This window comes from Homo sapiens, chromosome 3, assembly GCF_000001405.40.
Source record: "Homo sapiens chromosome 3, GRCh38.p14 Primary Assembly".
In the NCBI taxonomy this organism is placed as follows: Eukaryota; Metazoa; Chordata; class Mammalia; order Primates; family Hominidae; genus Homo; species Homo sapiens.
The window spans coordinates 133,012,941-133,029,199 of NC_000003.12; the positions used below are offsets into that span (position 1 = coordinate 133,012,941).

Sequence of the window (16,259 nt, forward strand, 5' to 3'; positions counted from 1 at the left end):
CCTGCTGATCTGTGCAGCCACAGAACACTTCACCCTGCATCCCAGCTGCTCCAGCTCCAGCCATGGTTCAAAGGGGCCCAGGTACACCCAATATCCCAGCTGCTCCAGCTCTAGCTGCTTCAAAAGGTGCAAGCATAAACCTTGGTGGCTTACAGTGTTAAACCTGTGGGCACTCAGAGTGCAATACTTGAGGCTTGGGAGCCTCCACCTGAATGTCAGAGGTTGTATAGAAAAGTCTAGATATATAGGCAGGAGCCTGTTGCAAGGGTGGAGCCCTCATGGGGAACCTCTACTAGGGAAGTGCAGAGGGGAAATGAGGGGTTGCAGCCACCACACAAAGTCCCCACTGGGGCACTGCCTAGTGGAGCTGTGAGAAGAGGGCCACTGTCCTCTAGACCCCAGAATGGTAGATCCATTGACAGCTTGCATCCTACACCTGGAAAAGCCACAAGTACTCATCATCAACCCATGAGAGCAGCCACAGGGTTTGCACCCTGCAAAGAGAGAGGGGTGGAGCTGCCCAAGTCCTTGGGAGCCCACCTTTTGCATCAGTGTGCCTTGGATGTAAGACATGGAGTCAAAGGAGACTATTTTGGAGCTTTAAAATCTAACGACTGAGGCGGGAGCAGTGGCTCACACCTGTAATCCCAGCACTTTGGGAGGCCGAGGCAGGTGGATCACAAGGTCAGGAGTTTGAGACCAGCCTGGCCAGCATGGTGAAACCCTGTCTCTACTAAAAATACAAAAAATTAGCTGGGCATGGTGGCACGTGCCTATAGTCCCAGCTACTCAGGAGGCTGAGGCAGGAGAATTGCTTGAACCCAGCAGGCGGAGGTTGCAGACTGCACTCCAGACTGGGTGACAGAGCAAGACTCTGTCTCAAAACAAACAAAAAAAATTAATGACTGCCCTGCTGAGTTTCAGACTTGCATGCAGTCTGTAGCCCCCTTTTTTGGCCAATTTCTCCTTTTTGGAATGGGAGTATTTACCCAATGCCTATACCCCCATTGTATCTTGGATGTAACTAACTTGCTTTTATTTTACAGGCTCATAGGCAAAAGGTACTAGCCTTGTCTCGGATGAGACTTTAGACTTAAAGCTTTTGAGTTAATGCTGGAACTCAAATTGAGTTAACCAAATCTCAACTTGAATTATATCTCCCAGAATTCCCACTTGTCATATGAGGGACACAGGGGGAGGTAAATGAATCATGGGGGTTAGTTTTTCCTGTGCTATTCTCGTGATAGTGAATAAGTCTCATGAGATCTGATGGGTTTATCAAGGGTTTCTGCTTTTGCTTCCTCCTCATTTTTTTTTCTTGCCAACATCATGTAAGAAGTGCCTTTCGTCTCCTGACTTTAAGGGACTGTTGGGAATGCATGATTGTATTTTGAAATGTGAGAAGAACATGAGATTTGGGAGGGGCCAGGTGTGGAATAATATGGTTTCAATCTGTGTCCCTGCCCAAATGTCATGTTGAATTGTAATCCCCCATGTTGGAAGGTGGAGCCTGGTGAGAGGTGATTGCATCATGGGAGTGGTTTATCATGAATGGTTTAGCCCCATCCCCCTTGGTGGTGATGTTGCAATAGTGAGTTCTTGTGAGATCTGGTTGTTTAAAGGTGTGTGGCACCTCCCCACCACCCTTGCCTCTGCTCTGGCTACATAAGATATATCGGCTTTCCCTTCACCTTCCATCATGATTGGAAGCTTCCTAAGGCCTCACTGGAAGCAGAAGCCACTATGCTTCCTGTACAGCCTGCGGAACTGTGAGCCGATTAAGCCTCTTTCTTATATATTATCCAGTCTCAAGCATTTCTTTATGCCAGCGTGAAAACAGATTAATACAAGGAATATTCATTGAAAATTTTTTATAATAGTGAAAAAATGGAGAAAATGAAAGGATTCACTGTTCAGGAGACCAGTTAAGTAAATTGTGTTGCATTAATAAGGTAGAATACTATGGAGACCTTTTTAAAATAAGTGCCTTCTATATATTCTGACAGAAAAAATCTCTAAGATATATTATTAGTTGAAAAGAAAAAGAAACAAGGTACAGAAAATTATGTAGAATATGATCTCTTTATGTAAATTTAAATAAATATACAGTTGACCCTTGAAGAACACAGCTTTGGACTGTGCAGGTCCATTTATGCATGGATTATCTTCTGCTTCTGCCACCCCTAAGACAGCAAGACCAACCTCTCCTCTTCTTCCTGCTCTTCAGCCTATTCAATATAAAGATGATAAAGATGAATACCTTTATGATGATCCACTTCCACTTAATGAACAGTAAGCATATTTCCTCTTCCTTATGACTTTCTAAATAATGTTTTCTTTTTATTATTTTTAAAAATATTATTTGTTAAATTTTTGAGTGTACATAGTAGTTGTATATATTTATGGAGGACATGAAACATTTTGATACAGGCATGCAATGTAAAATAATCGCACCATGGAGAATGGAATATCCATCCCCTCAACTATTTATCCTTTGAATTACAAACAATCCAATTACATTCTTTAAGTTATTTTTACACTATACTATTAAGTTATTATTGACTATAGTCACCCTATTGTGATATCAAATAGTAGGTGTTATTCATGCATTTTTTTGTGCCCAATAACTCTCCTCTACCTCCCCACAACCCCCGCTCTACAATTCTCAGCCTCTCGTAACCATCCTTCTACCCTCTATGTTCATGAGTTTCATCGTTTTTTATTTTTAGATCCTACAAATAAGTGAGAACATGTGATGTTTGTCTTTCTGTGCCTGGCTTATTTCACTTAACATAATGATCTCCAGTTCCACCCATGTTATCGTGAGTGACTGGATCTCATTCTTCTTTTATGGCTGAATAGTACTTTATTATGTACATGTATCACATTTTCTTTATCCGTTCATCTGTTGATGGACACTTAGGTTGCTTCTGAATCTTAGCTATTGTAAACAGTGCTGCAACAAAGAGAGTTGTGCAGATATCTCTTCAATGTACTTGATTTCCTTTCTTTTGGGTACATACTCAGTAGTGGGATTAATAATATTTTCTTATCTCTCGCTGACTTTATTGTAAGAATATAGTATATAATACATCTAACATACAAAATATGTGTTAGGAGACTGTTTATTATTATTGGGAAGGCTTCCAGTCAACAATAGGATATTAGTAGTTATAATTTGAAGGAGTCAAAATTTATACATAAGTTTTCTAATGCACAGGGGTCAGCACCCCAACCCCTGCATTGTTCAAGGGTCAACTGTATTCTCAATGTTAGCAAGTCTACTTCTGCAGTTAGCAGAGATAGCCTCAGTAATTATTCAACAAGATTTTACACTATATTTGCAAATCATCAAATGTCAAACAATTGTGGTTTTCAGACTACTATATGCTTTGGAGGTCTTTTACCCTATTATAAAAATTATACTGAGATAGCAAATGTAATGATTTAGAACATCATTATGATCTCTAACTATGGGGTTAGGAAGTTCTTTACCCTTTAAATTGTAATTTAATTTTAAGTAAATGTTCACGGAATTATGTTTTTTTCCTGGAAGGAAATGTGGTTGTCTTTGGGAAAATGGATGTTAGAAGAGTTGAGAAACTCTTATTTTTCTTTTGTACCTTTCTGTAGAGTTTTAATTATACATATCCTGGAGTTATCTGGGTAGTAAGATAATGTTCCATTTTTTCTTTATAATATAAACTTTTTAAAGTGAGGGAACTGGGAATAAAGATTTTTAAAAAGTCAAAAAATAAGATGAAAGTGTAGTAAATTTGAAATACAAAAGGAATGTCTGAAAGTCTATGAAACTGCTGAAGATGGGCCACAAATTTGGCTCTGATTTCTCTAGCAGCCAATAACATAAGGAAACACCATCACATATGTAATTCATTATATCTGTAAGATAAAAATGCATTTGTAGGGAAAGCCAAACAATTCATGAAACCTGAGTGTAATTTCTTTGGTAGATCCTCAAATGAGACCACTACATCTGATACAGGGAAAAATACCCAGAGTTACCCATAAAAATGTCAAGAATTTTGATTTATTTTATGATCTATTTTACAGATAAAAATAACCAGAGAAGAATAATCAGATAAGAAAACAACATCAGAAGGCTCAATTTCTGGCCCTTTCTGCTGAGATAATAGTGTTCTTAGCTACAGCAAATGATCCCTTTTCAGCTAACGTTGCTGCTGATCACAGACATCATAAACTGGATTGGCAATGCTAAGCTGTGGTGCCAGACTTCCTCCTCTTGCTGTTATCTTAAGCTAGACACCCTCACTTCCCAGAAAATGGATCTCTCTTGTTCTCATAAAAATCAGTCTCCTGTACTGTATTTGACTAGTGAGGTCATGGGCAAGTGACTGCTGTAGCTGCAAAAAATATTGGGAAAAGGGAACAGGTCTCATAACATGGTATGTTTGTCCCAGCATGTGGACAAAATATTCTCAAGATACACATTAGCCAGGAAAAGGTCAAACACCCACCCACCAAGATTCCAAAGCAGAGCCAGGATGAGGGTCCAGACCCAGGTTCTAATCCATCCAACACCATCCAACACTCAGGATCTACGTTCATGCTTCACATTTTACCTCTTGCTTTGCTGGCAGGAAGTTAGACTTACACTTTGCCTTAACTCTAATATTCTGTCATTTCTAACACAGATCATACAATTAATAGGGATTTTGAAGACACTTTCTTCCTGCAGTCTTAGATGCTGACAGGCCTTTAAACAAAGAAACACTGAAGTTAAAATCCAACGCATAATAAAATCTGGAAACAGCCCAAATACCTTTCAACCGGGAAACAGGCAAAAGCTATGGTACAACGGGTTGTCGGAAACTGCAACTTTCAGAAAAATGACACATAACGAAAACCAATTTTACCATATGCTAATTGATATAAACAAGAGTGAAGCTCCTACAGTATATTTCTGGTCACAAAAACATCATCAAACTTTTGAATAAGGACCAAAACACTTCCAATATTAGGCATTGAAATAATTGTGAACTATAATACATTAAGAAAAATTAGGGAGGCTGAGGCAGGAGAATGGCATGAACCCGGGACTTGGAGCTTGCAGTGAGCCAAGATCATGCCACTGCACTCCAGCCTGGGCGACAGAGCGAGACTCTGTCAAAACAAAAAAAAAGAAAAAAGAAAAAAAGAGAAATTAATAAAAGCAAATAAGATCATCCTTTACTGGCTCATTCCAGTTCGAGTCATGGATGGCTAGAGCCTATTACAGCAGCACAGGGTGAAAGATGGGAACCAGCCCTGGACAGGATGTCATTCCTTTGCAGGGCACACTCACACATGCTCCCAGCCTCACTTGGACTGGGACGATTTAGGTATGTCAACGAACCTAAGATGGACAGCTTTGGGAAGTGGGAGGAAAGTGGAGTACCCAGAGGAAACCTACACAGACATGGGGAGAAAATGCAAACTCCACACAGGTAGTGGAGGAATCAATATTTTTATTTTCATCAATGTTATAATGAAACAATGTTATTTGCAGACTTGCTGCATACAGTGGAATATAGTAATGAACTACTAATGCATGCATCAACATAGAAGCACCCCAAAAACATAACGCTGAGTGAAAAAAACCAGGCTCAAAAGGCTGCATACTGTATGAACTCATTTATATAACATACTCAAAAAGGCAAACTTATACGGACAGAAAAGAGATCAATGGTTGCCAGGGGCTGAAGGTAGGGAAGGAGTTTGACTACAATGGGGCACAGAGTAATTTTGGGGATGAAAGAATTATTCTATATCTTGGTTGTGGTAGTGGTGACATGATCATAAACATTGTCAAAACTTTCAGAACTGTACACCTAAAAGGGTGAATTGTACTGCATGTAAATTATACCTCAGTTTTTTTAAATGGAAAAATTCAATTCAATGAATAATACCTACATTTTATTTAGTCAACAAATATTTATTGATCACTTACTATGTGCCAGACACTCTTAAATGGTCATATATTTAAGCAAACTAATCCCAATGTATATAATGCATTGGAAATAATCTAAATTACTCTATGGATTCCTTAAACTTGATTTACAGCCAAAAATTCTGCATGAAGAACTTTAGTAGTGATGGGAAATGGCGGCACGTAGTTTTTTTCACCCATAACTGACAAATTACTGAAGTTTGGTGTGAAGACATATTGCAACCAATGGATTTGACACTCCCCAAGTACTGATTTAGAAAATCATTTTTAGGTGCTAATTGGCTGTGTGAAACTCACATTTTGGTGCAAGAAAGCTCAGAATTTCTGGTAGAAAGAACTAGGGAAGGCAGACGATGCAGGAGGGAGGTCAGGGCAGCCTGGAGTAGTGAGATGGGGAAAGTAGAGCACTGGCCTGAGGTCAAGAGATCTTCCTAGTCCTGCTCTTGGCTTGGTCGAGGTCACTTTGCCTTTCAGGGATTCAGTTTACTCAACCATTAAATGAATGAACTGGAAAGGTGGAAACAGCACTGACTGCACAATGCAGAGCTCTTCCGCTAGTAACGTGTGTGACCTTGATTAGTCAGTTGGCCTCTCTGGGCTTTCGTTTCTTACCATACCAAATGAGAGATTTAATGGTTGCATTAAAGATATTGATGCCATTGAACTGTATAGAAATGGCTAAAATGGTAAATTTTATGTTATTTACATTTTACCAAAATAAAAAATTTAATGAAAAAGATTTAGACAAAATGGATTTGGGGGTAATGTAGTTTGATTTTTTTCTCTTACTCTTGAGACAAAGTCCAAATTCCTTAACAAAGCCACCCATAGAGTGGCTGGGAAAATATTTTTGGTGGGGCCTCTGTCTATAGAAACAGTTTGAGCCACCCCAAACCAGCATGTCAACATCATTCCAGTGGCCCAATCTCATGAGATTATATGCAAAAAATACTGCATCTGCCAGCAGGAGCAATCTGCGTGCCAGACTACCATTCTAGGAACAAGGCCTCGTCCTGCAGCCCTAAGAAAACCCCATAGTATGAGTCCCAGAGCTCCTTGGGTCATCTGCTCAACCCCACATATGAGGTAGATTAGAGAGTACTCTGGGGAGAGAAATAGAGGTTCCATGCAAATCCCAGTCTGAGCTCTGGGTGCCCTGCCCAAATGGCACTGCCATAGCCAAATGGTCTGAAACATTGGAGGGAAACTTAGGAAATTTTGAGGAAGGCTCTCCGAAGCACAGGTTCCCCTGAGGCATGGGCCCAGCAGGGAGGATGTAGGAACTTGCCCATGCTCAAGGGTGGCACTTCTTGAATTAGTTTATAAACCTTGTCTGATTTGTCTCAAATGTGCCCAGGAACTTCCCACCCTTGGACTATGGCATTCAGGTATGGTTTCTCTATTCAGAACACGTGTTTCTCTCATTGCCTCAACACTCATTACTCCATTTGCTTAACTAATCCTTGTTCATCTGGGAAGTCTCAGCTTAGAAAACAATTCCTTCCAGAAGACTTCTCTGCCCCTGAGTTCTTGTTTATGAGCCTGATAGGCTACATTTAAAGACGAATCTAGAATCTTGGAATCTGTTTTCTCTTTCCCAGATCAATTCAACAGAATATTCAAAATAAAAGATAAAATCCCTCTGGAGTAGAATAAAAATTCTAAATCGGTTTCCTCCTTTCTAGAGGCTGGAGAGGAATGTATAATTCTACATTCTGAGTTCTCGAAGGAGAGGTGTGCATACAGAAGAGGAAATGTTGATATTAGCCACTGACCAAGCTATCTTAAGCCTGCTCCTTGTGGTCTTATGCAACTTTTATTTGTTCATTAATTTATTCATTCATCCATCCTTTCAATCATTCAACAAACATTTATGACTCTCTATTGTATTCTAGGCAATAAATTAGATCTGGAAGTAAAAAAGTCAAATAAGATGTGATTCCTTCAAAATGCTCATGGTCTACTGGGCATAACTCACTCTGAGATGTAGTTAATGGTGGTATGCCAGAGACTATTGGAGAAACCTGCACATGTGGCTGGAAGCTTTCCTGAAAATTTGCCATGGTACAATGAGTGCATCATTTATAAGCACATGAATTCAGAAAACTGTTGTTAGGAGAGCATGATGCTTCAAGGGTTAGACCATTCCTTTGCACTGGGAACAGAAGGGAGCACAAAAAAGAATTCCACTTTCTTACGTTAGCTCATGAGACTGTTTCTATGCTTGCTATTTTGTAGTATCTCCTATAAGAGAACAGAATCCCAAATGAAAAGCAAAGAATTCTAATTGGAGGTTCTCACCGTCAAGCTCCATGAATGAACGAGACACTTAAGAAAAATAGTGACAAGGCCAGGACTACAGGTCTTGAGTGTAGACAAACCTCTCAATCTGCCCCTCCAAAAACTGTGGGTGAGAGAGGGAGTATGGTGGTCTCCCTCCTTTGAAACAGCTCAATAGTTAAAGAAGAGAAACTTCACTCACATAGGTGCTAAGCAAACAGTGTGAGTGATTTCTAAGATTAAGAGGTATTGCTTAATAATACTTCTGACTAATGCCTAACTCTACAATTGACTTTGGACTGTCAAAGAAAAGAGTTTATTCTCATATTTGCTCCAAATTTCCCTAAAAGAAGAATTCTAAAGCATTTGTTCTATGACTGATATTTCTACTTCTGTCCCCATATAAAATAACCAAGATAAGTTAACAAGCTGCCCTATGCCTGGGAATGAACAGCTTTTTGAGTCATTACTCCTTTTAGAATGGGATGAGGCCAGGCGTGGTGGCTCAAGCCTGTAATCCCAGCACTTTGGGAGGCCGAGGCAGGTGGATCACCTGAGGTCGGGAGTTCGAGACCAGCCTGACCAACACGGAAAAACCCCATCTTTACTAAAAATAAAAAATTAGCTGGGCATAGTGGCACATGCCTGTAATCCCAGCTACTCAGGAGGCTGAGGCAGGATAATGGCTTGAACCCAGGAGGTGGAGGTTGTGGTGAGCCGAGATCACACCACTGCACTCCAGCCTGGGTGACAGAGTGAGACTCTGTCTCAAAAAAAAAAAAAGAAAGTGATGAGAGCTATGACCTTCCTCTCCTGAAAAATGTCCATACACACAGTTTTCTACACAATCTTGGTGGATTCAGAGACCCATTAAGGTACATGAAACCTATCCATGTACCCTAGGAGAATCTGTGCTCCAGTAAATATTAAAAATGTAATTTGTTGTAAGAAATTATTTAGCTTTAGCTGAATCAATTAATTAGTTTCCAGAAATATTGGACAGCCGTTCTCAGACTAGAGGTTGGTGGAAAAGTTCCAAGGCAGTGGTTGATGTTAATAGCTATAGAAATGGGCACAATGGCAGTATATAACCCTGTGACAGTGTGAACATTATTCCTTCTGGTTAGGGTGGCCAGAAAAAATAAAGGATACCCAGAGAAATTTGAAATTCAGATGAACAACAAGTAAATTTTAGTATCATTATGTCCTATGCAATTTGTAGAAGTATATTTGGGATATATTGGCATTATTTGTTATTTGTCTAAAACTCAAATTTAGGGCTGGCATGGTGGCTCATGCCTATAATCTCAGCACTTTGGGAGGCCAAGATGGGACAATCGCTTGGGCCCAGGAGTTCAAGTACAGCCTGGGCAAACACAGCAAGATCCCATGTCTACAAAAATTTGAAAATTAGCGAGGTGTCGTGGTGCATACCTGTAGTCCCAGCTACTGGGAAGGCTGAGGTGGGAGAATCGCATAAGCCTAATGAGTTGAGGCTGCACTGAGCCATGATCACGCCACTGCCTTCCAGCCTAAGTGACAGAGTGAGACCCTGGCCCAGAACAAAATAAAAGTAGATGAAATTCAAATTTAACTGGGCATCCTGCATTTTGATTAGCTAAATCTGGCAACTGTACTCCCAGCCAATTCTACTTTAGCAGGATTCCCCACCTTTGACTTGTTATACTTCTGTTCTCTTTGTGATCCTTTTGACAAAGGTCTTTCTTCTCCTTTATCTCTAGATGTATCTTAGTTTGATCCAGCACAGATGAAGATCTAATAATAATTATTTATCATCACTGATTTTCAACATCACAGAAATAGTGAAATCCTGTGTGTCTGTATATGTACATGGATGTGAGAGAGAAAGGGCAAAGGAGAGAAGTCACTCAGAAGTTTAAAAATTATTATTTTGAGATAAACATGACTATTAGAAAATGAAGTCTGAACACCAGTGACTGCAGAGGAGGTAGTAGTACAACTAATACAAAATTTAAGTTAAAGTGACTCCTGAAAACAAAATAGAAAAAAAATCCTTGAGGTTTATAGAGCCACTAACTCCTTGCCAAAGAGAGTTAACTCTTTTTGAAAATCAGATGGTTTGGGAGAACTGCTAGTTGCTAATGCCATACACATTTCTTCTTTTTCTTTAAAAATTCTAAATGCTGATTTTGGTCAAGGCAGCAATGTTTCTGGCTGAAATACACATTTCCCATCATCTCTTGCAGCTAGAGCAGCCATCTGACAATCTCTGGCCAATGAGACATAAGTAGAAGATTGCTGAACATTTCTGGGTAACAGTTGCTTTCCTGATACAGGCGCTCCTTCTTGTTCCTGTCTAGAGTGCAGAAATAAGGCTGGGGGTGGAAGTGATCTTGAGATCATGAATCATCCATTAGCATGAAAGCCACATGCTAATAATGCAGATCAGGAAGGCAGAAGGAGTCTGAGACATGGACAGCTGTGCTGGGCACTGTGCTATGCTGCCTGATCCTTCTTCAGGAACCCACCACTAATCTCCACCACTGGGTCTGTTGATAGCTGGTGTCCCTCTGCTATGAGCCCTCTCTGAGAATTGCCCTCAGCTGAAGACAGACACCCTACTCCAGGTCATGCCCCTTCCTGGCAGGCAGCCCACATCCAGTGACTAGTTGATGAAGAGTATAGATGCCTGCCACCTTGGTCCAACACTGAAAGATTCTGAAGGACAAGCTTCACAGCTCCCTGCAGGTTTCACTGAGGTCTTGTGACCATACCACAGCCCAAATTCTTCCTCTTATACAATCCTGCTGCCTGCCCTTACCCTACAGGTTGTTGATCCCAGGTGATCTCCCCAGTAAACTTCATACATGCAGTTTCCATGACAAAGTCTGCTTTCTAGGGAAACTTGACTTGCAACGACAACCTTGCACAGCCACTATACCAGCCTACCTCCTGATTTCTTGCTACATGAGAAGATTAAAATAAATTTTAGATAAGCTACAGAGCTGGATTTCTCATATATCTAGTCCAAAGCAATGTCTGTATAATACAGAGGGGTATTTTATATCATGAACTGTGAGTTTAAAAGTCTGAATTAAGGATTGATTCACAAGACTTAACATGGGTTGCTGAGGGCAAATGTGATATAAGTGAAACTTTTAGGTTGACAAGGAAAATACTAATTCCCATCTGATTCCTGCTTTGGAATATGAAGATACAGAAAAACCATTCCCTAAAGCTGCAAGAAAGGGCAGGTCCTTGACATTTCTCACTGAAAGGGTAATGATGAAGTACAGTAAGACTTGGCTAGATTGAAACACAGATATTGGCTCTACCAAGGCTGGAAGCCCTCTTCAATGAATAGATGAAGGCGCATGAGAGTTGGTTGGCGTGACCCAGAGTAAGCAACTCCAGCACTGAGGATTTAATGTTCAAATGTTAATTTGTGTTGCTATTGTCAGACTCCTCAGACATCATTAGTTCTAGAACATCTTAATGACTAGAGATGTTGAATCAAGAGTACTTCATCATTGGTACCCTCCCAAAAAGTCAACCCCACAAAATGAAAAAGCAAATAAAAAAAAAACTTGAAATGAATCAAATGCAAATACGGAAACAAATAGTTTCCTTTTCTTCCCGGTGAATGGAAAAGGTGGTTAAGTACATCCTTGATTATCATAAAATTTGAAGAAAATGAATTCTAGGTGAAATTAATAGTGAATTCAGATCTCTTGAGACTACAGAACACCTGAAACTAGTACTCTGCCTAGTGTCTCAGATGCATCACACCTACGTTGTTTAAGGTGAAGTCCAGCAAATGTGAAATCAGGTAAATAATAAGGAAGTCCTGAAGGCTTAATCAATCTCCACCCATGACCATTGCATCATTACTGGTAGATTATTGCCTTCTTTTTCTGGGTTTTAAAATGAATACAATTGACTCTTCAAATAAGACAGTCATTGACATGAAAATGAGAAATGTGTACTTGTTCCGTATAGCTTTTGACTTCAATGATATTTCCCAAAGTAATTTAAATCTAATGACTTCTCAAACATTTGCTTGTCTTGAGACTAGGGCAATGACAGGAAAAGTACATCTGTCATATCATGAAAGTCCTAGAAAAAGTAGTAATTCAAGTTTTAATTTGTGTACCTGGAATTTTTAGCTATATTTTCTTTCACGTGTTTGCTTAATATAGACCTGCACTATATTGAAAATGGCCACATTTGGCACAGTGACTACAGTCCTTCAATTCATTATGGTTATATAATTAACAGTATAAGTCACATTATACTCAGGCCAATATATTGATCCAGAGACCTCCAAGGATCTTTCAAGGGCAGAGAGAAAGGAGATTGCTGAAAAGTTAGATATTTGTGGAATCTCTTAGGTCTAGTGTTCCAAAGCATGGGGCATCTTCCCTCCTTAGGATGCGTGACTTCCTTTTTTGCTTAGTAATAGAATCCAGATTTTATTAATACCAACAAGGTACTCTCTCCACAAAAAAACAAAAACAAAAACAAAAAAACTATACTTCTTGGTTTCCCTTGTACTCAGCAATGATCACGTGATGCAGTTCTAAGGAGGAGTTTGGGAGATTTTAGGATGGGGAATTGACCCTTTTAGCCAAGGGCTGTATCTGATTTGCAGATGTGTTTCGGTTGGCCCAAAGACTTAAAAAACAAACAAACAAACAAAAAAACTGGATAAATTCCCATAAAAAGTCCAGGTTTCTAGATTTCTGAAAAAATCATGAGATATGAGAGATTTTGCATTCTTACGTTGTAGCAACAAGCTGAAACTCACTAACAACACAGTTCCTGCTTCTTTGTATTGTCCTATTTTCTTTTCTTTTTTTTTTTTTAAGATGAAATTTTGCTCCTGTCGCCCATGCTGGAGCGCAGTAGCGTGATCTCAGCTCACTGCAACCTCTGCCTCCCGGGTTCACGCAATTCTCCTGCCTCAGCCTCCCCAGTAGCTGGGATTACAGGCATGTGCCACCACATTGGGCTAATTTTTGTATTTTTAGTAGAGACGGGGTTTCACCACGTTGGCCAGGCTGGTCTCGAACTCCTGACCTCAGGTGATCCGCCCACCTCAGCCTCCCAAAGTGCTGGGATTATGGGCGTGAGCCACCACTTCCAGCTTCTACGTATTGTCTTATCCTAGCCTGCTTCACTTTTTTGCTTCGCCTGCTTCACTCCATAAGCATTTGTATTGCAAACCCTACCTTAAACCATAATCTGTGTCTCTCTCACTCTTTTTTCGTTTACTGTATCATATGTCATGTTTTATCTGTCAGTGATTCAGCCCTGGATGACAGAAGGGTTCTCAAACTCACACAGTTATCAGGGCTGCATAAATTACCATTCCCAGAAGGCTCTCAAAGCTAGAGCACGTGTGAGTAAATGGATAGATTATTGTTCATTAACTTTAATTTTTTTTTGTTACTGGTGCTAAATTTGGATCACAGGTCATATTTCAAGGTGAGGTGGGCAACATGAAGTCTAAAGGTCTTATATTGCTCATCTGGTCTTGAGGGTTAGAACTGAGCCCAGTGTAGTGGCTCATGCCTGTAATCCCAGCACTTTGGGAAGCCAAGGTGGGAGGATTACTTGAGCCCAGGAGTTCGAGACCAGGCTTGGCGACATAGTGAGACCCTGTCTCTAAAAAAATAAAAAAATTAGCTGGGTATGGAGTCATGTACCTGTAGTCCTAGCTACTCAGGAAGCTAAGGCAGATCACTAGAGCCTAGGAGCTTGAGGCTGCAGTGAGCTATGATCACGTCACTGCACTCCAGGCTGGATGACAGAGCAAGACCCTATTTCAATTTTTTAAAAAAGGAAAAGGTCAGAACTGTGTTATGAGGCAAAACTCAAGGAGTGTTTACTACATTATTTTGTCAAAGGCAGCACTAGGGGGGCATGTAATGAGGAGATAGGTTGTCCTCACTTTTATGTTATAGGCTAATTCACTTTTTCATTCTAAGCAGTTTATCATTTTATCATTATCTACTTGACAAAATATATTTTCATTATCTTTATTTTCCTCATTCACATTGTTCTTGAAGATTATGAGTGCCACAAAGTATTCCCACTGAATAAAATAGTACTTGCTTCATAAACTTCCCTAAGTTGAGTTTTAAAGGATCCCACTACCCTAGCTGTGCATTCTAGGGTTTCAGAATTGGGCCATTAGTCTACCTGTAATGTTCATGATCTTAGAAAATTATATTGTCCCACTTCTTAACTTTTACCATCCTGAAATGAGAAAACCTACCACCTCCTTTTATTATAGGGTAGCCTCTGTCCAATGGAACTCTTACTTTCCATCAGCCTAGATGCCCTTCCCGGCACTTTTTCCAGGGCTGCTGTAGCTTTTTTGAATTTCAATAACCAGAGATACACACAGTTTTATTGCAGAAATCTTTATTTCTTTTGAATGATATTCAACATCTGGCTGACCATTTGAGCTGTGGTGCCATAGTGGAGTAGCATCCTGGAATGACTCCAGTCCCTCCTTTGGTCATAACCAATCATACAAAACAATTCCTTTTGTGCATAGATTTTTGATTATTTATTAATTTTTAATATTATTAGTTTGTCATTTAAACACTGTATCACTGACACAGTATAGTGATTCTAAAGTGCACTTCTCATGTAAAAGCATTAGCAGTATCTAGAAACTTGTTAAAAATGTACATTCTCAGCCCTCACCCCAGATCTACTTAATCAGAAACCCTATGGGTAGGGTCCAAGAATTTGGTTTTTGATGTAGGTGATTCTGGTACACACTCAAGTTTGAAACCCACTGACATAGTGTTTTGTAAATGAATAAGATGTAGTGACAGAAAAATTCATAGAAAGGAAAGTTTTTACTTAGAATTACAAAAAAAATGGAATGTAAAGGAATGGAACATCAAGAATATCTTATATTGCCTTTTGTTTGTTTGGATATATGGCTATTGATCCAATCACTGGCAATTTGTGCAAGGGGTCAGTTGCTCACATTTGAAATTATGCTATCTAGGTTTGATGCTCTAAGTAAAATTAGCAAGGGGAAAGAAATAAATGTGAGAATGGAGAAGTAATTTAATATGAGAAGAAATGTAAATATTTATACATGCATGTATTCGCAGAAAGAGGAAAGAGCCCCCAAAGGAAAAGAAATGTAACAGAATATTAATGATAGGCCCCATTAATAGGTAAGGATAATTCTCCAGTTCAAAGGGAAATCAGCAGAGATGCCAGCAGAAGTAGTGGGTGGCTTCTGAGAAACAGTGCTCTTATTCATTTAACAAGTGACTACTGAGCACCTACTCTGCACCAGACATTATTCTAAGGGCCAGGATACAATGATGGACAAGACAGAACTTAGTCTAGTGGAGGTCATAAACTGTTGAACAGCCAATGGCAATACAGTGTGATGGAAGCCACATTAGGGGAGGAGCAAGGTAGCCGTCGAAGCTCAGAGGAGAGATGCTGGATGCTGAACCGAGACTTGGGAGATGGGAATCTTGGTAATGGTCATTACCATGATTAGAGTAGAGAAATACTGTAGAAGAAAACTGGAAGAAATTAGTAAAGTACTTCTCTGGGGCTCATTTCTAATTATATCTCTGAGGTGGGAAGCATTAGTCTCAGTTTGGGTTTTTAATAGAAAATGTGTGTGTGATGAGGCCATACAACAGAGGGGAGTGATCTTGGGCTGTGGAAATCTGAATTCCTGGCAGAAGCACAGGACTGGGTCTAGATCCCACTTTGAAACTAAATTTCTAATCTTAGGATTAGCACAAGCAATCATAACACTGGGGAGAGAGATCTAGCTAAAAGAAAATATATTTTTTTTAATCTTTGAAACCAGAAAACCTGAATACTCTTTCTAATTTGGGGTTTTAATCGAACATGTGTGTGTGATGAGGCCATAATACAGAGGGGAGTGATCTTGGGCTATGGAAATCCAAATTCCTGGCAGAAGCACAGAACTGGGTCTAGATCCCGCTTTGAAACTAAATTTCTAATCTTAGGA

At 39.8% G+C, this 16,259-nt stretch overlaps 1 annotated feature.

Moving 5' to 3' along the window:
* Window positions 4,172–4,372: a silencer, noted in NCBI's record as "peak4836 fragment used in MPRA reporter construct". NCBI's record gives its function as "represses an SCP1 promoter by STARR-seq MPRAs in K562 erythroleukemia cells {active_cell/tissue: K562}" and the evidence as "EXISTENCE:reporter gene assay evidence [ECO:0000049][PMID:32103011]".